The sequence below is a fragment of the Homo sapiens genome, chromosome 7 (genome assembly GCF_000001405.40).
Source record: "Homo sapiens chromosome 7, GRCh38.p14 Primary Assembly".
NCBI classification, from domain to species: Eukaryota; Metazoa; Chordata; class Mammalia; order Primates; family Hominidae; genus Homo; species Homo sapiens.
In genome coordinates, this window is record NC_000007.14 from 135,495,829 (window position 1) to 135,519,776 (window position 23,948).

Sequence of the window (23,948 nt, forward strand, 5' to 3'; positions counted from 1 at the left end):
GAGGCCAAGGTGGGAGGATTGCTTGAGCCCAGGAGTTCAAGGCTGCAATAAGCTATGATTGTGCCACTGCACTCCAGCCTGGAAAACAAAGGAAGATCCTGTCTCTAAAATAAAGAAAAAGAATAATATTCAGCACAAACTGTCTCAAGTTTTCTCACCTCTAATAAACAGACTCTCTTACAGTATACATACAAAAACTGTGAATGCTCCTATTATATTGTTTTCTGGCCATTTTTACAGTTATTTTCTTGACTAAATAGTTTTTGTTTTTTTGTTTTTTGAGACAAGAGGTCTCACTCCGTCACCCAGGCTGGAGTGCAGTGGCGCAATCTCCACTCACTGCAACCTCCACCTCCCGGGTTCAAGTGATTCTTATGCCTCAGCCTCCCAAGTAGCTGGAATTACAGGCATGCACCACCATGCCCAACTAATTTCAGTATTTTTATTAGAGACGGGGTTTCGCCATGTTGGCCAGGCTGGTCTCAAACTCCTGACCTCACGTCATCTGCTCGCCTTGGCCTCCCACAGTGCTGGGATTACAGGCGTGAGCCACTGTGCCAGGCCAACTGAATAGTCTTTATCAGTCTCTGCTTAACATCTTCCTTAACCTCCCTGCAATCTGATTTATATTACCATTCTTAGTGTACTCAGTGGTCAGTGACCCTCACACCACCAAGCCAAAGGATTCTTTCTCTATTCTCATTCTCCTCGAACTTCGTATTGGACTATGTCCACCTCTGTGCCCTTCTTCCTGAAACCTCCTTGGCTACCTAGAAGCAACACTATCCTGAATCTTCCTATTCCTCTCTCTCTCTCTCTCTCTCTCTGACCTTTCCCTTAGAAAATCTCTTCCTTTGGATTCTGAGCCAAACTTTTCCATCTTCCTTTTACCTCTCCTACTGTTCTTATTAAAGTATCTTTTTCACTTCTACCCCTGAAACGTAGGAACCCCAAAAGTTTAAGTTGAGTCCACTGTTCTCTCATTTTCTTTTTATTTTTTGAGACAGAGTCTCTGTCACCCAGACTGGAGTGAAGTGGCACAATCACAGCTCACTGCAGCCTCGATCTATCAAGCTCAAGCGATCCTCCCCACTTAAACTCCCAAGTAGCTGGGACTACATGAGTGCACCACCAAGCCTGGATAATTATTTTTTTTTTTTAAGAAATGGAGTCTCACTATAATTGCCCAAGATGGTCTTGAACTCCTGGGCTCAAGCTATCCTCCAGCCTCGGACTCCCAAAGTGTTGGATTACAGGCGTGAGCCACTGCACCCAGCTCTTTTTTATATTCTCATAGGGTCAGGCATGGTGGCTCACGCCTATAATCCCAGCACTTTGGGAAGCCGAGGCAGGCGGATTGCTTGAGGCCAGGAGCTCAAGACCAGCCCGGCCAACACAGTGAAACCCCATCTTTACCAAAAAATACAATAATTAGCCAGGCATGGTGGCACGTGCCTGTAGTCCCAGCTACTCAAGAGGCTAAGGTAGGAGAATTGCTTGAACCCAGGAGGCGGAGGTTGTGGTGAGCCAAGATTGCGCCACTGCACTATAGCCTGGGTGAGAGAGTGAGACACTGTCTCAAAATAAAAATAAAAGACTCTGATAGTCTCTTTTAAGGTTCATTCATCCAATTAAGTATTTATTGAGCATCTACCATCAACCAGGTTCTGTTTGGGTTGCTTAAAATAGATTAGTGAACAGAACAGACCAAAAAAAAATCCTCTGTCCTTATAGTGAAATAATTCTATGCTACCAAGCACACTCAAAACTATCTTCCCCTAAATACTATTTTAAACACATCACTATCATGACTTAAAAACAACAATAACAACCTTGCAATGATTCCCCTCTTATCAGCATCTAATTTTCTATGCCTTAGTTCAAAACACTTGATAATCATTTTCTATTGTATCCATACAGGTTCATTTTCCATTACTCTCTGATTCAAGGGAATTCCAGGCAGGCCAATCTTCTGATTACCCCTCAAACACATTCCTTATATTTCTATGTGGTCAAGTGATTACTGAAAATATATGTTTAGTACTTAGACATTGTTTTACAAGTGTACTGAATTAATAGAGAAATTCAAAGATGAATGTTTTTTATTCCTTCAAATGCATAAAAACAGCAAACACTTAGACAAAGCGACGATGTGCCAAACACTATTCCAAGCACTTTATATACATTAACCCATTTATTCCACACAACAATCCTGGTATCTCCATTTTACAAATGAGGAAGCTGAGTCCCAAAGACGGTAAAGTAACAACCTAGGTCTCACAGATAGTAAGTAAGTGGCAGAGCCAACATTCATATGTAGGAAGCCTGGTTCCATACTACCCAGCATACTCCCAGCAGAAGTAATAAAAACAAATAGAGTTCAAAACTGAAACTGAAAACTACATTCGACTATAAAAAGTTATGTATAATTAATCCTTTACTCCAAATAATGAAGAACAATATTTCCTCTAATATGTCAAGTTTAAATTATAGAATTTAATAGTATATAATAAAAACCACAATCTACAAACATGAATACACCATCTATCATTCAGAGTTCCCCAAAGCTGAAAATACTTGCTAGGCATGACAAAGAATATATGGTGACACAGGTCTAACTTGTGTTCTTTTGTTAGCATGCATATATTAAAGTATTTTGCTGTCATCCTTGCTTTCATCAGAATCAAAATAGATTTGAATACAATCTTTAAGGTTTTTATGTTTGTTTGTTTGTTTTTGAGACGGACTCTTGCTCTGTCACCCAGGCTGGAGTGCAATGGCATGGTCTTGGCTCACTGCAACCTCCGCCTCCTAGGTTCAAGTGATTCTCCTGCCTCAGCCTCCTGAGTAGCTGGGATTACAGGCACATGCCACCATGCCCGGCTAATTTTTCTATTTTTAGTAGAGACAGGGTTTCACCATGTTGGCCAGGCTGGTCTCGAACTCCTGACTTCGTGATCCACCTGCCTCGGCCTCCCAAAGTGCTGGGATTAAAAGACTGCCAGCTTTACTTTTTGGAAGCAAAATTCACATGTAGGACTAGGTCCTGTATGACAGAAAAAAATTTAGGAGAAGCAAAAAAAATCCCCAAAGCATTTAACTCATATAGGTACTCTTCAACCTATCACCAACTTTACGGCTAAAGGATCTTTTAAAGGGTTTCTAAGGACTCATAGAGAATTCAATTATTTTATAACTGATTACATAAAATTAAAATCCAAAGGCAGAGGTTTTTTTCATAAAACAATCCTGACATATTAAAAGATAGGGAGTGCCTAACTACAACATTATCATTTTCTTCTCTTTCCAGTTTCCCCTGCTCTTCAGGCAGAGAAAAGACATAAATTTGTCAGGTTTTGAGACGGAGAGATTAAAACAAACAAACCAGGACAGGGATGCTAGTTTGATTTGGAAAAGGCTAGACTGTATGTAGCCTCTCCAACTAGTAATGACAGCCTAACTAGAAAAGAAAAGGTATGTAGATAAAGGCAGCCAAAAAAACAATGCCATCAATGCCATAGGCAAAAATCCACAGCAGCTACTATTCCCCACTTTATTTTCTGCCTCTCCTCCCTTTTCCTGGGTAAGGAAAGCACCCAAAGCACCCCCAAGGCCACTCACAGAAAACCAATTTCTTCCCAAGCACTGTATGAATTAAAAAAAAAACATAAACTATTAATAATTTGAGATTAATTCAATTTAATCTCAAATTTTCGAACAGTTTGGAAAAGATTTTTCAAACAGGGAGTCGTTTTCTCCTCTCCTCACCCACAGCAACCCACTATGACACTCATAAAGTCATCCCATACTCCAAGGGATTAAATACAAATTTCCTGGGGAAAACACTGGATTTGGCAGCTATCACTGAAGATATTCCCAAATACTAAGGTTCTCCTGTATACCCTATATTTGATATTTTCTTCCCTCCCACATACACTGGTGACAGCAAGAAAGATGGATAATCCTTCTCAAGATTCTCTACACAATGGATATCTCAACTCAAATCTCAAATCCAAAATTAAAACATGAAAACCCCTGTTAAAACAAACCCCCCAAGGAGAAGGCAATGGCTTTCTATTCTAGTGTTCATTTTCAACAGCACACACGATCAGCTAAATGAGGAAGTTTTAAAATGTCAAAAATATTTCTGTCATATTACTAGAATGAAAGAGGTCTAAGGATAGAGGCGATGCCAACGAAAAACAGATTATTTCCCAATAATGTACTATGTTGCATCATCTTAATCACTATTTCCCAAGTCACTAAAAGGTTCATGGCATTATGATAGGTCCTATATTTTATAATAACAATAAAGAAAATGGTAAAATTAAGTTTAATTTTAAAATTATAAGCACAGTTGAGATGTTTTCAGACTCAACTGTGGGAAACTTTGAGATCCACATGCTACATACAGTAGAGGAATACCTGAGACATTGAAGGAAGCATGAAGATAATAAGTGGCAATACAGTATTATTCATCTACCTCATTTACAAAGCGAGAAACAAGAAACCTACTTTTTTCCCCCAGCTTTAAAATAAAATGTAAAATTTTCCTTCACAAAACAAAGTATGCTATCCAGAAATACACAACAGATCCAGAAAGTTGGCTTAATGCAGGGTCTACAAACCAAAACAAAGAATTTTAAAAAAACTTCAAAGTTCACAGAACTTAAAAAAAAAATTCCAACCAAAACATATACGGCTGATGTTTAACCAGACCTGTTTTTTAATATTACCTGTGCAAAACAAAGATATCGAAGTAAATGAAAGGATAAGTTTTCATTTCACAATCTCCCTGTATACTTCCTCAGCCTGCGGACCTACCTTTATTCATCCTTAAAGGGAGTTGGTAGCTAGAAATATTTAATGCCCTACTTCATCAGAATTTTCTTTAGCTCTGATCAGGCCATTATTAAAGTCATCCAGTAATATTTACTGGTTATAGCTATTCAAATGTGAGTAGTCTCCTAATAACCGTTCTGAACTAATATACACATAGGAAGCAGGTAAGGCCTAAATTTCTCTTTTACAAATGAAGTATGTTCATTTCTCTTACTGTAATAAAGATAATATTTCTTTATTTTCCAAGCTCCTATTCTCCAGTGAATATCTTTAAAATCATTCAGAAACACTGGTAGCTATTTTCTACTAAACCTTTTTTTTTTTTTTTTTGGAGACAGAGTTTCATTCTGTAGCCCAGGCTGGAGTGCAGTGGTGCCATCTTGGCTCACTGCAACCTCCGCCTCCCGGGTTCAAGCAATTATCCTAGCCTCAGCCTCCCAAGTAGCTGGGATTACAGGGGCACACCACCATACCTAGCTAATTTTTGTATTTTTAGTAGAGACGGGGTTTCACTATGTTGGCCAGGCTGGTCTCAAACTCCTGACCTCAAGCAATCCTCCCACCTCAGCCTCCCAAAGTGCTGGGATTACAGGTGTGAGCCACCACACCAGGCCTACTAAAACTTTTTGAGGCTGTTATTGGAGTAATCATCTATCACTTTCTTCGCAAAAGCTGGGCTTGGATAACAAATTGCAGTTTACTATCAAAGACAAATAGACCACATTTCCTCAGTTCTCTACTCTTCAAAACCTTGGTGTCACTTTAGGGCATGAGGGACTAAAGAGAAGATGGAATCAATTATCTGACAAATCCTGTAGAATTTCCATCCTAACGTCTCTCAGAATAGCTCCTTACCTCAGTGGCTTGGTCTCTAATTTTTCAAACAAACCTCAAGTGTCATCCCCAAAATATGCTGCACACTATTGAACGAGTAATCTTTCTGAAAAACACTCTCATGTTTTCTCCTGCTCCCTATCAACCTCTACTGGCTTCTTATTGCTTAGCAGATTAAATTCAACCTGACACCAATACACCTTTCATAATCTAGCTCTACCCTACTAATACAAATTTATCTGCCACCATTCCCAGTAATTAACACTTTATTCCATTGAGATCAGACTCCTTACATCCCTCTCACATCATGCTAGCCCCTATCAAGTGTTTGCTCATTCTTTACTGTGGTCTAAATGTCTCCTCCACAACGCATATTGAAATTTAATTGCCAGTGTGGTAGTATTAAGAGTTGAGGCCATTAAAAGAGGTGATTAGGCTATGAGGGCTCTACCCTCATCAATGATAATGCCATAGTAATGGAAGTAGGTTCCTGATAAAAAGCAAGTTCTGCCCTCTCTGTTCTTGTTCTCTCACCCTCTCTTGCTCTTCTACCTTACACCATGGGATGACATAGCATGACGGCCCTGCCAGATGCCAGTGCCATGTTCTGGTTCTTCCCAGTCTCCAAAACCATGAGCCAAATACATTTCTGTCGATTATAATTATCCAGTCTGTGGTATTCTGTTATAGCAGCATAAAATGAACTAAGACATGCTTCCATTCCCTATATAGAACGTACATAATGTTCTCCTTCTGGATATGCTAGCCTATACAAACAGTACACAATCTTTATTCAAGACTCATCTTCTTCAGGAAGCCTCACTCCTAGGACTTTAGTCTGAAGATATCCCTGTACAAACAGACTGGACTCATACTACATGTAGCACACATTATTTGTACACTGCTTTGGACAGTGCTAATTATATCATTATGAAAGTATTCTTGACAAGATAAACTCTACAAAGAAGTTCTGCCAAATTTTCCAAGAAGTGGTTCCATAAGCAAAGTCTGTTTGAAAAATTGATTAAGGCTGGGTGCAGTGGCTCAGGCCTGTAATCCCAACACTTTGGGAGGCCGAAGCGGGCAGATCACCTGAGGTCAGGAGTTCAAGACCAGCCTGGCCAACATGGTGAAACCCTGTCTCTACTAAAAATACAAAAACTTAGCCAGGTGTGGTGGCGGGCGCCTGTAATCCCAGCTACTGAGGAGGCTGAGGCAGGAGAGTTGCTTGAACCCGGGAGGTGGAGGTTGCAGTGAGCCAAGATCATACCACTGCACTCCAGCCTGAGCAACAAGAGCAAAACTCCATCTCAAAAAAAAAAAAAAAAAAGAAAAAAAGAAAAGTTGATTAAATAATCCTGATTTTGGCAGGGCACAGTGGCTCACGTCTGTGATCCCAGCACTTTGGGAGGCTGAGGCAGGTGGATCACCTGAGGTCAGGAGTTTGAGACCAGCCTGGCCAACATGGTGAAACCCTGTCTCTACCACAAATATAAAAATTAGCTGGGCATGGTGGCACACGCCTGTAGTTCTAGCTACTTGGGAGACTGAGGCAGGAGAACCGCTTGAACCCAGAAAGCAGAAGTTGCAGTGAGCCGGGATGGCACCACTGCCACTTTAGCCTGGGTGACAGAGTCGGACACCATCTCAAAATAAATAAATAAAGACATTTTATTATATCACAGCATAGTGGCTCACACCTGCAATCCCAGCACTTTGGGAGGCTGAGATAAGAGGATCACTTAAGCCCAGAAGTTTGAGACTACCCTGGGCAACAGGGTGAGCCCCCATTTCCACAAAAAATAAGAAAATTAGCTGGGCATGGTCCTGTGCCTGTAGTCAGAGCAACCTGAGAGGCTGAGGTGGGAGAATTGCTTGAACCCAGGAGTTCAAGGCTACAATGAGCTAGGATCATGCCACTGCACTCCAGCCTGGGCAACAGAGACCATCTCAAAAAAAAAAAGAAAAAAAGTTCTAGTACGAATGAAACAATGTAATGACTAAGATTTGATACTATTTGAAGCTGAGTAACAGGTACATGGTGGTTCATACCTACTTTTGTACTTGTTTAAAAATACCAAAAGTTCCTTTTTAAAAAAGTACTAATAACGTCTTTATATCATTTTAAATGGCAAAACCAAAATATAACATTTTCTTTACCCAAGGAAGACATAGGTCCCTACTGACAGTAAGAAAAATGTGTGCAGAAAGATTTAATGCAGAATCCTAATTCTCATCTAAGAATTAATAAAAGTTAGAGGAAAAAATATAATCAAATAGAAAGGATTTCCATGAAAAGAAAAATTAATCCTAACTACTAAAAGCAACACTGTTTATATTATACAACTTCAATTAGAGCATTCACAAGACGGTCCACCCAAATAACTGATGAAACTTTAAAACTTCAGAAAAAAATCTTAAGCAAAATATGGGAGGCAGAAAATAAAGGGGAAAAAAGGAAAAAAGTTGCTACAACCAATGTTCAATAACACAAATCAGCCAATGTTATTTTAGAAAATTCACAATCTGAAAACACCTGATGCTCTAAGGGAATGGATTAAAAGGTTCTTAAATAATCAGAAAATTAGCACTTCCACTCTATTCCAAACTCTGAAAAACATGCTCAGAAAATTTCAGATATTTGGATTAATGACCATGTATCTGTTTGTTGCTATTAAGAAATGCTCCACCCCTTTGAAATTTCAGTCTAATTGCTTTTCAAAATTCAATCACTATTTTGCCTACATCATTCACTAATTGCTTCCAAAAGCAGTAATATAAGATCTACTAATTTTTTTTTTTTTTTTTGGAGACAAAGTCTCACTCTGTCACCCAGGCTAGAGTGCAATGGCGCAATCTCAGATCACTGCAACCTCTGACTCCCAAGTTCAAATGATTCTCCTGCCTCAGCCTCCCGAGTAGCTGGAATTACAGGCACGTGCCACCACATCCGGCTAATTTTTTTTTTTTTTTTTTTTTTTTTTTATTTTTATTTTTTTTGAGACGGAGTCTCGCTCTGTCGCCCAGGCTGGAGTGCAGTGGCGGGATCTCGGCTCACTGCAAGCTCCGCCTCCCGGGTTCACGCCATTCTCCTGCCTCAGCCTCCCAAGTAGCTGGGACTACAGGCGCCCGCCACTACGCCCGGCTAATTTTTTGTATTTTTAGTAGAGACGGGGTTTCACCGTTTTAGCCGGGATGGTCTCGATCTCCTGATCTCGTGATCCGCCCGCCTCGGCCTCCCAAAGTGCTGGGATTACAGGCGTGAGCCACCGCGCCCGGCCCATCCGGCTAATTTTTGTATTTTTAGTAGAGATGGGGTTTCACCATGTTGGCCAGGCTGGTCTCGAACTCCTGACCTCGTGATCTGCCCACCTCGGCCTCCCAAAGTGCTGGGATTACAGGCGTGAGCCACCGTGCCCGGTCACATCTACTATTTTTAAGGGAAAGCATTTTATTCTTCTAATTACACTGCTTTTTTGCCTTGACCTTTTTTCCAAACTGGTTTTAGGCATATCCACAAGCCAATTTTGATTATTTTGATTTCAAATTCTACTCCATAATTGCTTTAAAACTCAAGAGGTGAGATTTTAGTAGCCATACTTTAAAAAAGTTGTTTTTGAACAGTTATCTGACATACACACCTATACAAATAGCAAGACTTATCCTAATAGCAATACATCATCTGCCCATCACCCAAAGCAATTAAAGCTTAAAACAGGACAACTCTCCTGTATAAACAGAGTTTAATAATAAAGAAGCCGTACTTGAGGCCGGGCACAGTGGCTCACACCTGTAATCCCAGCACTTTGGGAGGCTAAGGCGGGCAGATCACGAGGTCAGCAGTTCGAGAACAGCTGGTCAACATGGTGAAACCCCATCTCTACTAAAAATACAAAAATTAGCTGAGTGTGGTGGCGGACATCTGTAATCCCAGCTACTCGGGAGGCTGAGGCAGGAGGATTGCTTGAACCTGGGAAGCAGAGGCTTCAGTGAGCCGAGATCGTGCAGCTACACTCCAGCCTGGGTGACAGAGCGAGACTCCGTCTTGGGGAGTAGCGGGGAGAAAAAAAGCCATACTCACAAATAAACCTGTTAAGATGAAAAATAAACTCATACTCAAACTGTGTTATACCATCCTTAAAGTTAGGTTTTCCTACCAAGTAAAAGTAATCATCTTCTTTTTAGTAGCTTATAATTTCTCTTTTCTGATAAAAAGAAAAATATGCTGCTAAAATCTAAGTACTAAAATCTAAGGAGACAAAATAGTGGTGAAATTTTTTATAAACTTTGTAATTAAATAATAAAGAATCGTATCATAAAAAAGAAATGTGTCACAGAACCAGTTAGATTCTATTATAGTAGAAAAAGTTGACATTTACCACATAATCTTTTCTAATAAAGAAGTCCACATAACAAGATTAAAAACAATTGTGAAGTTCTTTTAGAAAACCAATAAATGCATGATTAAAAAGTCCCACATATCTTCTTTCCTTGCATCACAAAAATAACTGGGTAAATTATGCTAGCTTTTAAATTTGAGTACTCTCAACTTTTGAGGAAAATATGTATATACTACAATCTTTAAAATATTGAGGATATTGTCATCTTTTATTCAGGAATGGATATTTGCAGATTTTTCCTAATATCTTTGAGGTAACATAAAATATTATAAAATCTCAGAATGTGTTAAACAAGTTTTATCCAATACATGCTATTCCAGTGGGATAAAAACCATTTACAAGTTCCATTTAGATTAAGAAATCCTTTGAGAAAATTATGTAGTACATTCTAGTTATACTGTTTCTAGAACAGCAAAAATCTCTATAACCTATTTCCCTACTGTTTTCTTCAGAACCAAATGAGCTGAATGTAACTTCCTTCACAAAGAGTCAAGACAGTATTATAGTTACTGTAAGAGAGCTAACTAACTGAATTTTCACCAGAGGCTGAAGTTTTCACAAATTAAAACCATTTTACTTAAATGATCTATAAAAATAATAACACTAAGTTTAAACATATTTAATTGAGTACTATTTGCAGTCACATTAGAAAATTTAATTTTAGGCCTGGCATGGTGGCTCACGTCTGTAATCCCAACCCTTTGGGAGGCCAAGGTGGGCGGATCACGAGGTCAGGAGTTCAAGACCAGCCTGACCAACATGGTGAAACCCCGTCTCCACTAAAAATACAAAACTTAGCCGGGCATGGTGGCACACGCCTGTAATCCCAGCTACTCAAGAGACTGAGGCAGGAGAATCGCTTGAACCTGGGAGGCAGAGGTTGCAGTGAGCCAAGATCGCACCACTGCACTCCAGCCTGAGTGACAGAGCGAGACTGTCTCAAAAAAAAAAAGAAAAGAAAAGAAAAAGAAAGAAAAGAAAATTTAATATTTTTCTCATACAAAACAACAAAAAGATAAATTTATTAAACTGAAGAATATGGATTCCTTTTAAAGCCAAGATTAGGGAGGTGAAAAAAGGGAAGATTTCTAAATCCAAACTGCTTAAACTGATAAGATATTTTTTCATTCCTTTAAAGCACACAAAATCATTTTTAAAATAAGACTCCCCTAAAGCTAGGAGTTCATCCACTGGCAACACCCTTTCTTTAACAAATGAGTTGCAAGTTATCGCTAGTACTCCCATTTAGACTCAAGTTGAAGGGCATTACAAAAACAATTTTATTTTTCTGCACTTTGTCATTTGATTATAACTGTCTCATCCTAATTTTATAATAGGCCAACTTTAAGCGATTCATGTTCAAAACCTTCTTACAGAAATAATCTATTGATCTCAAGAATTCAACTACTCAACCTGGCAGAAAGTATTCCAAATTATCAAAAGAAACCATGAAAATATGAAGCTTCAGTGTTCATAACGTTAGATCAAAAAACTAAAACCAAGCAAAACTATTTAGAAATCTCAGCTCCCTATTTCCTATCAAAATGTTAAAGAACTTTAGATATCTTCTTTAAACGTACTAAAGATACAAAAGTAAATTCCTTTTGACTTCAGAGGGCTGAAATGAAGAATTCAGTAACTGCGGGCAAAAATTATGGAGGGGAAAGAATTACTTGAGAAAATATTTCGTGAGACAAATACCTTTTTTTAAAAAAAAAGATGTATTAAAATCACTTACTCCCTTCTACCAGACAAACAATCCTCTCCTAGAACTCACTGCTTACAATTCAGCCAAGTATGACTGCCAAGAGTTTCTAAACCTGTGTTAGGATTTTTAAAAGTGGAAAGCTTCTCCACCAGTGTATTACAACAAAAAGTATATTTTTTAGAGTTAAAGATCAACTATTAAATACACTCCTACTGATAAACTAAATGTAAGTGATTAAAAAAAACCCAAAACTCAACTTGTAACTTAGCACAAAGTTTGCTATATAAATTGCTTGCAGTTCTAAGAGTAGGTATTTATTTGGTCCCCCAAATTGGGGCTTAAGTGGCTGAAAGAAAAAAGTTTTATAAACAGCTTTTCTAACCTTAGTTTACATTTGGTAAAACAGACCATTTATCACAATCAAGTGAACATAATGCCAAATGTTAAGATTCCAAATTTTACAGGTAAAATTTGTAAAAATTACAATAACCCAGTAATGGACTGCCACATGAGACTGTCACTGATTTTAAACATTTTTACATATATCTTAAGAATACAATGTCATGTAAGTCATGTTTAAACTTGGGATGTATGTATTTGAACTATGTAATCTTGGTTGCTTTTCTGGTAATTCTTTATCTCACAGTGGTCTGATTATAGCCAGGGCTGCTTCTTCCCATTTTACCATTAGTCAGTACATCTTAATTTTGCTTTCACCAAAACATGGACATCATAAGCCACCTCTTGCTTCCAGTTTTCTGCTTTTTACTGTAGATAACAATGACAGTGAGTTCCACCAAATGCATGTATGTGCACAGCTTTGTCATTCTTTTCCCAGCCCCCTTCTTTTCTATGAGAAAAATACGAGGAACTTAGGTTTATATAAAAATGTCGATTTTTCTTTTGCATACATAACTAATGGATTTTCAAGACAAGACAATTTATTCTGATAACTATCATCCTAGAAATGTCAAGAGAACTTCCCAAATCCAAAAATAAGAAGAAAATCTGATATTAACTGGAGAGGAAATTTCCACTCAAATCATAAATAAAATGTCATCAATTAAGCTGAACATCAATAAAACTCAGTCAAAAATCAAGCCTCAATACAGAACCCACACATAACCCACATGTAATCAAAATATCACTTATATTTGCTAGCGGAGTTCACAGATGAATTCTGTATGTGCGCCAGATTTATCTTATTTTGTAATGCTGGGGTTAATATTTATTGGTATAAATCAGGGCCCACACTAAGTGTCCTGGGGAGAGGCAATCCAAAGAACGCTTAGTAGCATGATAAAACCGGTCCAAAACGAAAAAAAAGAAAAAAAGCCAAGTCCTAACACAACAGAGCGAATAAGCGACAAATAGATCACAGAAAGCAAAACGAAAACGGTCCTCTCCGGAGTAGCCTGAATAAAAGATCTTCACTCATAACGTTTAATAGTATCCTACCTCACTTCATTCACTTCCCAACTTCCTTTTACTTTTCAAGGGCCACCACGGGGCTTCCCTTTTTCTGGAAGTGTATATTGAAAGGATCTGTACAGGAAAGAGGGAAGGAACGGACAATTCTCAAGAAGGCTGAGAAACAGGTGGGTTAGCAGGAGGAGCATAATCTAGATACTTAAGGGGCAGCTTTAAGATGACAGATGTGGTGGAAGGAAAGACTGCAAATCGGAAGCAGCTCTAGTGTGGCAGATACACTGTGGGCTGATTGCAAGCACCAGAGGGGGGCAAAGGCTAACTCCAGAGTGGTAGCAGTGGAGCAAAAAAACAAGCAGCAGGACGAGTGGGCAATGAGCAGTGGGATTAATGAGCAGCAGCAGCCAACACGGATCAGAGTGGAAGTGATGGCTTTGGTCTTGGGAGACGGGGGCCAGAGGGAAAGGACGTCAGACAGGGAACAGGGGATTGGGGAAACAAGGAGGGCTGAGACCTAAGAATCCTGCCCCGGTGAAAATGCAGGGGGAAAAGCTGGAGACCAAAAGCCGCCTCGGCTCCCCAATTAAAGAAATTCTCGAAGGAGAGTCGCTGCTTGCCGCCGCGCTGCCTTCTGACCCGCTCCCTTTTCCTTATGGTAACTGCTGTGGCGTAAAGGGGAGAGGGAGGAAGAGGAGGAGGAGGAAGAAGACCAAGGAGGAGGAGGGTGAAGATGAGGCGGGGGGTGGGGAGAAAGGGGGGTGCGGCCTGTACAGTCCCAGCGAAGCCTCCGCTCTCTCGTAGCCGGTCAGCCCCGGGTTTCCCCTAAGCCCAGCCCCGCATAGACTCACCCGCCTGCCTTGCCTCGCTTTTCCCTCAGCCGACTCCACGGGCTGCCGCGTCCTCACAAGAAACCACCGAACGAGCGTCGGGGAAAAAACTCTTCAGAACCGGGCCTGATTGCTTCAGCGAGTCCGACCTTTACGGCTGAGAGAGAGACTCTCAGCTTTCGGTGGGTTCCACAGCCAGACGGGCCACCATCTTACATTAGGGTAAGACTCCTCCGGCCTCCCGTGCGCAGGCGCACGCTGATCCGGCCAGGAGGGGCGGGGGAGGGGCGGGAGGAGCGGCGGGCGGCTGAGTGGGAGGTTGCGGTGGCCGCTCCCGCAGCACCCTGGGAGTTGAAGTCCTCGGAGGGTAACCTCCCAGGGGCACGCCGGGAGTTGAAGTCCTCTCTCAGAGGGCGGAGGGGATCGCCCACCTCACGTGGCTGCTGGACTGATGCCTTTCTTCGTGTTTTGCTTCCTTCTCTGCACGCGTGTGCTGCTTCAATGTCATTTGGTCGGCGGTTTTCACTAGTGATTCCGTGTCCTCGGTGTTTGCGGAAATGTGCTACCCCAAGACTGGGGCGAGGCTAAACAGTTTTTCGGGGAGCCCGGAATGTTTATTCTCTGCCCCGCCCACCAGGGATATCTAAAGGGGGCGGGGTGGAGGTGGAGGCAGGTTGTGGGTACGAAGAGCGCGGGATTTGATCCAGGGTGAGAATTTGATACAGACTTGGCGTCTGTTTGCGAACAAGGAGGAAACAGGCGCCTGTTTAATTCATTTCCCTGTCCTTGCGCATTTGGGGCCACCACCCTTGATCCCTTCTTCACTGTAAAATCACCAGTGAAGACATACACTAAATTGTTCTGTGCAGATTACCCAAGAGAACGGAACACCCGTGCACTTACAATAACGTGCTTCTGTTGGTGTGAATTTGAGAATTTGCGGACCTCGGTGCAAATTAGTGTTAGTTCGGTGTCCAGCCAGCACAGCTGTGTGCAAGTTTACAAACTACACACATCGGCACATCCCCAAGAACAATAAATGCAGCCACAATCCCTACGAGCACTGAGGAATCATCAGTCACAAAAGTCAGTCAATGTACTGGTCGCCCCGTTTGCATCCCAGAACTCTGGTGGAAGTGGCGCTCGAAGCAGTAACTTTTGCTTATTGCATGTATTCTTCACCCACTCATACAGCAAATACTCAATGAGCTCCTCCTAGCTGCCGGGTACTCTTCTATATATTGAGAATACAATGGTGAGCAAAATAGAAAAAATTCCCTGTCCCTATTCTAGTGATGTGTTGGGATGAGGAAGAGGAGAGAAGAGGCATTATTTTAAAAATACGTGATTAAAATGCATAGTATGTCATAACCGATTTTAAAAACTTAAAGCAGGGAAGGGGAGTAGGGAAAGAGGTTGCAGTTTTAAATTTACGAACTTAATTTCATAATAAGCCCTCAATTCATTGTTTTTTCTTTTTTTTTTTTTTTGAGACGGAGTCTAGCTCTGTCACCCAGGCTGGAGTGCAGTGGCGCGATCTCGGCTCACTGCGACCTCCGCCTGCCGGATTCAAGTGATTCTCCTGCCTCAGCCTCCCGAGTAGCTGGGATTACAGGCACGTGCCACCACGCCAGGCTAATTTTTATATTTTTAGTAGAGACAGGGTTTCACCATGTTGGTCAGCCTGGTCTCGAACTCCTGACCTCAGGTAATCTGCCTGCCTCGGCCTCCCAAAGTACTGGGATTACAGACGTGAGCCAGGGCACCCGGCCTCATTCTTTTGGTACATTGGTTTTCTGTGTTTCAGTTTCCTCACTATAAACCTAGAGACAACAGTTACTTGGGTAAAAATTAAAATATGTAGTGAAGTCACATTTTACCCAAAGTTTGAAATTATAGAATCATGAAATGATTACCTAGCAAGGAAACTTGGGAAATTATTTGGATTTCCCTTTAGGTAATTAAATGCCTAAACATTCAATATGGTTGACATTTTTATTTAAAAATGTGTTTATTGTTCTTGTATATATTACTGATTCTATAGTAGTATATAAACAAAGTAATGAAAAGAACAAAATAAAAAGAAGCCTTCCCATTATGAAAGATTAGAATCATCACAGTAAAAACTGGAAGGGATCTTAAGCATCACCTAATCCAGTGGCAACCTTATCTTACCCAACATTCCTTTTTTTAATAAATGTTTTTATAATATGCTCTTTGTTAGCCTAAAATGAAATTCATAGGTATATAAACTACCTATATACATGATTTCATCTGAAATCAAAATGATGTGCTATTTATAATATAAATGATATGAAGAAAATATTTTATAATAAAATTGTATTTCAATATATAAATGCTCAGCATGACCATTCTAGAAATACAGTCAAGTCATGGTTTGCTAGCACTTATAAATAAAATATCCAACACTAGGGGGCAATGCCACCCCTGTATTGAGACTGACAGTAAGGAGGTGACAGTTCCTAGGTCACCAATTGTAAGAGTCACTACCATCTCAGGCCAGTACTCCTTTTACTATACTACATTGCCAGTTTTCATATGTTTATGTATGCATATGTGTATATATATACTATCATATAGACTTATGTATGTAACACTTCATTCTCATATAATTTTAAAAGTTAACATTAAATTTGGCCAGGTGTGGTGACTCATGCCTGTAATCCTAGGACTTTGGGAGGCTGGGGCGGGAGAACTGTTTGAGGCTAGAAGTTCAAGGCTAGCCTGGGCAACCTAGGGAGACTCTGTCTCTACAAAGATAAAATTTGAAAAACAGCTGGGTATGGTGGTGCCTGCCTGTGGTTCCAGCTACTTGGGAGGCTCAGGTGGGAGGATCACTTGGGCTTGGAAGTTGAGGCCGCAGTAAGCCATGATCATGTCATTGTCCTCCAGCCTGGGCAACAGAGTGAGACTCTGTCTCAAAACAAAACAAAACAAAACAAAAAACATTCAGTTGTATTACTTTGCTTACCTAATGATTCCTAAGTGTGGAACCTATCTATTCACTTAACAAATCTATTTTGCCTTTAGGCATTGTGCTCAATGCTGGTGGTATAGCAAAACAATGGTCAGCAAAACATGGTCCCTGTCCTCATAGAGCATAATGCCTAGTAGAAAAAGCAGAGATTAAATAATCATATAAATAAATAACTACAAGCATATAAACAGAATTTCATATATATGATTACAATTGGTCATGAGTACTAAGAAGATGTATAAAGGATGTTATGAGAAAGTTTAAGAGGGGAGCCTAATTTAGATTGGTGGGGAGAGGAGGGTAGTCTTTACCAGGTTGAGAGTGGAGAATATGCAGAGACAGGAGGTGGTTAAAAAAAACACTCACCACAGGCTGGGCACGATAGCTCACACCTGTAATCCCAGCACTCTGGGAGGCCAAGGCGGGTGGATCACCTGAGGTCAGGGGTTCAAGACCAACCTGGCCAACATGGTGAAACCCCGTCTCTACTAAAAATACCAAAAAAATTAGCCAAGTGTGGTGGCAGGTGCCTGTAATCCCAGCTACTCAGGAAGCTGAGGCAGGAGAATTGCTTGAACCCAGGAGGTGGAGGTTGCAGTGAGCCAAGATCACGCCACTGCACTCCAGCCTGGACAACAAGACCGAAACTCTGTCTCAAAAAACAAACAAACCTCACCATGGCCAGGCATGGTGACTCATGCCTGTAATCCCAGCACTTTGGGAGGCAGAGGCAAGCTGACTTGAGCCGAGGAGTTCGAGACCAGCCTAGGCAACCTGCCAAACCTGCCAAAACCAGCCTAGGCAACCTGCCAAAACCCACCAAAAATACAAAAAATAAGCCGGGCGTGGTGGCACACATCTATTGTCCCAACTACTCAGGGGGGCTGAGGTGGGAGGATCGCTTGAGCCTGGGAGGTTGGGGCTGCAGTGAGCCAAGATTGTGCCACTGCACTCCAGCCTGGGTGACAGAGTGAGACCTCATCTCAAAACAAAAACAAAAACAAAACAAAAAAAGCCTCACCAGAAGGTGTATATGGACTATGGTGAGTAAGGGGAAGGGTGGCATGAGGTGAATTTAGAGAAAGGCAAGGGCCAGGCCGGGCATAGTGGCTCATGCCTGTAATCCCAACACTTTGGGAGGCCAAGGTGGGTGGATTGTTTGAGGTCAGGAGTTCAAGACCAGCCTGGCCAACATGGTGAAAGCTGGTATCTACTAAAAATACAAAAATTGCTGGGCACAGTGGCTCACGCCTGTAATCCCAGCATTTTGGGAGGCCAAGGTGGGCGGATCACGAGGTCAGGAGATCGAGACCATCCTGGCTAATACGGTGAAACCCCATCTCTACTAAAAAAAAAAACATAAAAAATTAGCCAGACATGGTGGTGGGCGCCTGTAGTCCCAGCTACTAGGGAGGCTGAGGCAGGAGAATGGCATGAACCCAGGAGGCGGAGCTTGCAGTGAGCTGAGATTGTGCCATTGCACTCTAGCCTGGGCAACAGAGCAAGACTCTGTCTCAAATAAAAAAAAAAAATTAGCCAGACATGGTGGTGCACGCCTGTAGTCCCCGCTGCTTGGAAGGCTGAGGCACAAGAATCGCTTAAGCCCAGAAGGTGGAGGTTGCAGTAGTCGAGAACACGCCCCTGCACTCCAGCCTGGGCAACAGAGTGAGACTCTGTCTCAAAAATAAATAAATAAATAAATATAAAGAAAGGCAAGGGCCAGATTATCCAGGCCCTTGTAGATAGGAAACACAGCTCTTATATCACAGGAAAAGGAAAGCCTATGGAGGAAAGAGTCATGATCTGACTGACTTCTTGAAAAGACAATGCCACCCAATGTCCATCAATGGGAAAGTTATAAATTTAATTTCAGTGCTTCCATTTTCTGGAATATTACGTGGCTATATGAAAAAAAGAAAGGGAAAGAATGACATATTGACCTGGAGGAATGCCCATGATATGTTTATCAGGTAAAGAATAAATAAATACATTATAACGTAATATATTGTGTAATGTAATACATTTTTTAGAAATGAAAAGAACCAGTGCAAAATAATACAAATAGATTTCTATATAATCACAGAAAAAAGAATAGAAGGATTCATTACACATCAAACATTTAGTGTGTGTTGGTTACCTGGGAGGATTGTAATTAGATAGGCATAGAGGGAAAGCATAATATTTGCTTTATAAATTAACCAGGCTTAGTGGCCCATGGCTGTAGTCCCAGCTACTTGGGAGGCTGAGGTGGGAGGATCCTTTGAGCCTAGGAGGTCGACCCAGCAATTCTGCAGTGAGCTGTGATCGTGGGCAACAGAGACCCTGTCTCAAAACAAAATGGAAAAAGCAAAAACAAAAGCTTTTCTTCAACCTGAGGAAGTTGATTTTTAAAAAAGAAAAAAAACATTTTCTTTATAAATTGCTTCATTGGTTTTTTTGCATATGAATTCGTTTTATACATTTTTAAAAAATAGATCACTCAGCTTTGTGGAGAATGGATTGGAGAAAGGCAAAAATGAAAATGGAACAACTAATGAAGAGAATATTTCAGTCATCCAGATGGTAGTTCTGAATGTGGTGGTAGCAGTAAAGATAGGGGGAAAAAAAGGTGATGAATTCAAGATATATTTTTTTGGAGTTGAAATAATAGGACTTGGTGATGTACTGCACATGAAGTTCTCATCAATGACTCTCAGATTTTCGGGCTTCAATGGCCTTGTAGATAGTGGCTCCTTTAGTAAAAGGAGAATGGCGAATATTGAAATAGCATCTGTAGAAAGCAGAGCAACTTTATCAGAAAAACAGCAGGATTTCAGGGAAATAATGGCTTCTCATTTGAGACTCGTGAATTTAAAAATCATAGTGATTATGTCTTCCCCAACTTAGTGATTTTTCTTAATAATGTTTATTTGCTTGGTTTCTGCCAAAGAAACTACGTACAGTTGGGTTTATCTAGGCTGGAGGAGGACAATAAAAACAAGAGAGGGTTAAGGGGCAACCAGAATTATAGATTGTTTCCCATTTTTTAAGCCTTTTAAAATTATTAATATATAGATTTTAATTTTAATTTTTTTTGAGACAGCGTCTCACTGTGTCACACAGGCTGGAATGCAATATAGTACAATCTCAGCTCACTGCAACCTCTACCTCCTGGGCTCAAGCAATCCTCCCGCCTCAGCCTCCTGAGTAGGTGGGACTACAGGTGCACACCACCACATCTGGCTAATTTTTGTATTTTTTGGTAGAGACAGGGTTTCCCCATGATGCCCAGGCTGTTCTCAAACCCCTGGCCCAAGTGATGCACCCACTTCTGCCTCTCAAAGTGGTGTAATTACAGTCATGAGCCACTGCATCTGACCTAGATTTTTTGTCTTGGAGGTGGGAGTCTCACTATACTATCCAGGCTGTTCTCAAACTCCTTGCCTTAAGTGATCCTTCTGCCTCAGCCTCCAGAGTCGCTAGAACTGCAGGCATGAACCACCACACCCAGCTAGATATTTTAAATAAATAACATCATTTTCAAGTTACATTCTTGGGATATATTCTCAAATATAGACTTGCTAGGCCAAGCTTGTCCAACCTGCAGCCCACAGGCCACATGGGGTCCAGGATAGCTTTGAATGTGGCCCCACACAAATTCATAAACTTTCTTAAAACATTATGAGATTTTTTTTTGTGATATTTTTGTTTCAGCTATCCTTTGTGTTAGTATATGTTATGTGTGTCCCAAGACAATTATTCTTCTTCTAATGTGGCCCAGGGAAGCCAAAAGATTGGACACCCCTGTACTAGGCCAAAGGAAATGATCAGTTTCATGACCCTTGTTATGGCTAGATTGCTTTAATATTAATGCATTCTAAAGCCACTTTATTCGTGGGACTTTTTTTTTTTTTTCCAAAAACCCATTAATTTTGTGGGTTTTTTTCTGTTATTTAGTTAGTTTTAATCACTTACTTAGTATTTGAGTGTTAAATATTGGGTATATGGTGGTAAACAAAACACTAAACTCAGAGATCTTAGGGTTGAAAAGGAGAGACAGACCACAAGTAAAATAATAAGCAAATTACTTATACTGTCAAAGTATTAGGAAGGACAAAGAACAGAATGATAAGAGAAATATCAGGAAGGGATTTACTTTAGATTGGAAAGCCTCTCTGAAGAGATGACTTAATCTGAGATTAAAAGGATTTGAAGAGATTATCCATTTAATGAATGGCCTATGCCAAGACCCGAAGCAGGAAGAAGTTGAGCATATTCCAGGAATGGAAAGTTAGCCTGTGAAGTTGGGTCAGAGAACACAAAGGCAGAGTGGTAGGAGATGAGGTTAAGGAAGGAAGTAAAATCCAGATTATGCAGGGCTTTACATGAAGTTTGGATAAGAGACAATTGAATGATTTGAAGCTGGAGAGTGACACGACTCAATTTATCTTTTCAAAAGACCACTGGGGCTGTCATGTGGCAAGTAGATCAGAGATAGGCGGTGAATGGAGAAGTGGAGAGACCAGTGAGGACACTACTGCAGAAGTGCAGCCTGGAGATAATGCATGGCTTGGACCAGGGCAGGGCTGGGACTAGGTTAGGGGAGTAAGGCAGCGTTTGCCTTGGGCACAACATTTTAAAAATTTTTATTTATTTTATTTTTTATTATTATTATTTAGAGACAGGGTCTTGCCTAGGCTGGAGTGCGGTAGCATGATCATAGCACGCTGTAACTAAGATCTTGAACTCCTGGGCTCAAGGAATCCTCCCACCACAGCCTCCCAACTGCAGGCATGCAGCACCACCATGCCCGACTAAGTTTTTTATGTTTTATAGAGATGAGGTCTCACTATGTTGCCCAGGCTGGTCTCAGACTCCTGGCCTCAAGCAGTCCTCCCTCCTCAGCCTCCCAAAGTTCTGGGATTTCAGGCATGAGCTACCGTGCCTGGCCCTAGGGTATAAAATTTAAGCAAACATTTAAAAACTCAGTAATTAAGGTCAATAATGTTTAGATAAAACATTTTAAAAAGTCAAAGTTAATGCAAAAAATCCATGATGAACAAAATATTAAAATATAAGATAAAGACAAAATCCAAGGCTGGGCATGATGGATCACGCCTAGAATCCCAGCACTTTGGGAGGCCGAGGCAGGTGGATCAGTTGAGCTCAGGAGTTCGAGACCAGCCTGGGCAACATGATGAAACCCCATCTCTACAAAAATTATAAAAAATTAGCCAGGCATGGGCATGGTGGCGGACACCTGTAGTCCCAGCTACTTGGGAGGCTGAGGCAGGAGAATGGCGTGAACCCTGGCAGTGAGCTGAGACCACGCCACTGCACTCCAGCCTGGGTGACAGAGCGAGACTCCATCTCAAAAAAAAAAAAAAAAATTAGCCAGGCATAACACTTAATAGAATTGTTTGATTTATTTATGAATGTATGTATTTATTTATTTAGAGACAGGGTCTCGCTGTGTCACCCAGGTTGGAGTGCAGTGGTGCGATCTCGGCTCACTGCAGCCTCTGCTCTGCCTCCTACGTTCAAGCGATTCTTGTGCCTCAGCCTCCTGAGTAGCTGGAATTACAGGCGCATGCCACCACACCCAGCTAATTTTAGTATTTTTAGTAAAGAAGGGGTTTCACCATGTTGGCCAGGCTGCTCTCGAACTCCTGACCTCAAGTGATCCGCCCACCTCGGCCTGTCTAAGTGCTGGAATTACAGATGTGAGCCAACACATCCAGCCACTTCATAGCAGAATTTTAAAAGCATTTGCTTTAAAACATGACAAGGATACTCACTACTATCATGATTACTATTTAACATCATACTAGAGGGGCTAGCCAATGCAAAAAGACATAAAAAAGAAATAAGACATATATAAACTAGAAAGAAAGAAAAAACTCACTATATTCAGTTATAATGATTGTCAGTATGGAAAATATATGAATAAATAACAAAAACTAAAAGCAATTCAGTTCATAATATAAACATACAAAAACCAGCAGTATTCCTATATATCAGCCACAAGAATACAAAACCATATGAAAAATGCACATGACTAAATAGTAAGACTTGTTAAAACTTGGTAAGGAGTGTTTACAGAGTCATTGGGATTTGTGGCTTCCAGTAATAAAGAGCATGCAAGGTGATTCTGACCAAACTTCTCTCTTATTATGCGAAGGGGGCAGAAGAACACACACCACAAATGCTGCATAGTGTAAATGTAAAATAAGATTTAGTGGGGAAAAAATACTGGCAGAGATGCAGCAAAGCATTATTCCCTATTATCCCACAGAGACACAACTTCCATAAATAGGCTAGGTATACTCCCCTCCCAAAAAAGGGGCGATTCCAGGTGATAGACTGCACTCCTGTGATGTTTTACCTACTTACTGAGAATGGGAAATAGGGAGTAGGCAATTATATAACAATGAGAACTTCCTGGTTGGGAATAACCTTGTTAGAAAGGAGCAGCTCCTGGAGTTCAGATTCTGATAATATTCCTTTTCTCAGACCTGCTGAAGCAGGTTCTTGCTAGGCTACTTGTCTGATTAGCTATTGCCACAAAAGTGCTGTGTAATAACTACCCCCAAGATATAATGGCTTAAAGCATAGTCAGTTATTTTCTCCAACTGCAGGTCAGCTGAGGGTCAATGGATCTAAGCTAGGTTCATCTCAGCAACTCTGCTTCAAGCTGTAAGTCCAGCTGGGATTGGCTCCTCTCTGTGGGTTAGGCTCAGGATTGCTTTCATCTCTGTTCATTCTGGGGCCCAAGGTCAAGAGGCAGCAGCTTCCTGAGGAAAGCTCTTCTCATGGCAATGGCAGAGGTGCAGAAAGGCAAGCCCAAATATGCAAACTTTTTTTTTTTTTTTTTTTCCTGAGATGGAGTTTCGCTCTGCCGCACAGGCTGGAGTGCAGTGGCATGATCTCGG

General features: G+C 41.0%; 1 protein-coding gene across 16 annotated transcripts in view, besides 7 other annotated features; it reads right to left on the bottom strand.

Annotated features, from left to right (window-relative positions):
- CNOT4 (CCR4-NOT transcription complex subunit 4) overlaps positions 1–14,274 on the bottom strand; it is a 148,308-nt gene extending 134,034 nt beyond the window's left edge. For 10 of the 16 annotated variants that reach the window (NM_001393373.1, NM_001393371.1, NM_001393375.1 and 7 more), the window contains exon 1: positions 14,061–14,274. The gene's annotated coding sequence lies outside the window, so the exon portion shown is untranslated. Of the gene's footprint in view, positions 1–13,242; positions 13,330–14,060 lie in introns of those variants that run through there. The other 6 variants (XM_047420412.1, XM_047420413.1, XM_047420415.1 and 3 more) reach the window with 2 other exon arrangements.
- Positions 13,344–14,249: an enhancer, noted in NCBI's record as "H3K27ac hESC enhancer chr7:135193920-135194825 (GRCh37/hg19 assembly coordinates)". NCBI's record gives its function as "activates a minimal SCP1, AML or CMV promoter by ChIP-STARR-seq in primed H9 embryonic stem cells {active_cell/tissue: H9 hESC(primed)}" and the evidence as "EXISTENCE:reporter gene assay evidence [ECO:0000049][PMID:30033119]".
- Positions 14,020–14,219: an enhancer, noted in NCBI's record as "active region_26715". NCBI's record gives its function as "activates an Ori minimal core promoter by ATAC-STARR-seq in GM12878 lymphoblastoid cells {active_cell/tissue: GM12878}" and the evidence as "EXISTENCE:reporter gene assay evidence [ECO:0000049][PMID:35858748]".
- Positions 14,220–14,459: a silencer, noted in NCBI's record as "silent region_18679". NCBI's record gives its function as "represses an Ori minimal core promoter by ATAC-STARR-seq in GM12878 lymphoblastoid cells {active_cell/tissue: GM12878}" and the evidence as "EXISTENCE:reporter gene assay evidence [ECO:0000049][PMID:35858748]".
- Positions 14,220–15,154: a biological region, named in NCBI's record as "H3K27ac hESC enhancer GRCh37_chr7:135194826-135195730".
- Positions 14,250–15,154: an enhancer, noted in NCBI's record as "H3K27ac hESC enhancer chr7:135194826-135195730 (GRCh37/hg19 assembly coordinates)". NCBI's record gives its function as "activates a minimal SCP1, AML or CMV promoter by ChIP-STARR-seq in naive H9 embryonic stem cells {active_cell/tissue: H9 hESC(naive)}" and the evidence as "EXISTENCE:reporter gene assay evidence [ECO:0000049][PMID:30033119]".
- Positions 14,530–14,649: an enhancer, noted in NCBI's record as "active region_26716". NCBI's record gives its function as "activates an Ori minimal core promoter by ATAC-STARR-seq in GM12878 lymphoblastoid cells {active_cell/tissue: GM12878}" and the evidence as "EXISTENCE:reporter gene assay evidence [ECO:0000049][PMID:35858748]".
- Positions 14,800–14,969: an enhancer, noted in NCBI's record as "active region_26717". NCBI's record gives its function as "activates an Ori minimal core promoter by ATAC-STARR-seq in GM12878 lymphoblastoid cells {active_cell/tissue: GM12878}" and the evidence as "EXISTENCE:reporter gene assay evidence [ECO:0000049][PMID:35858748]".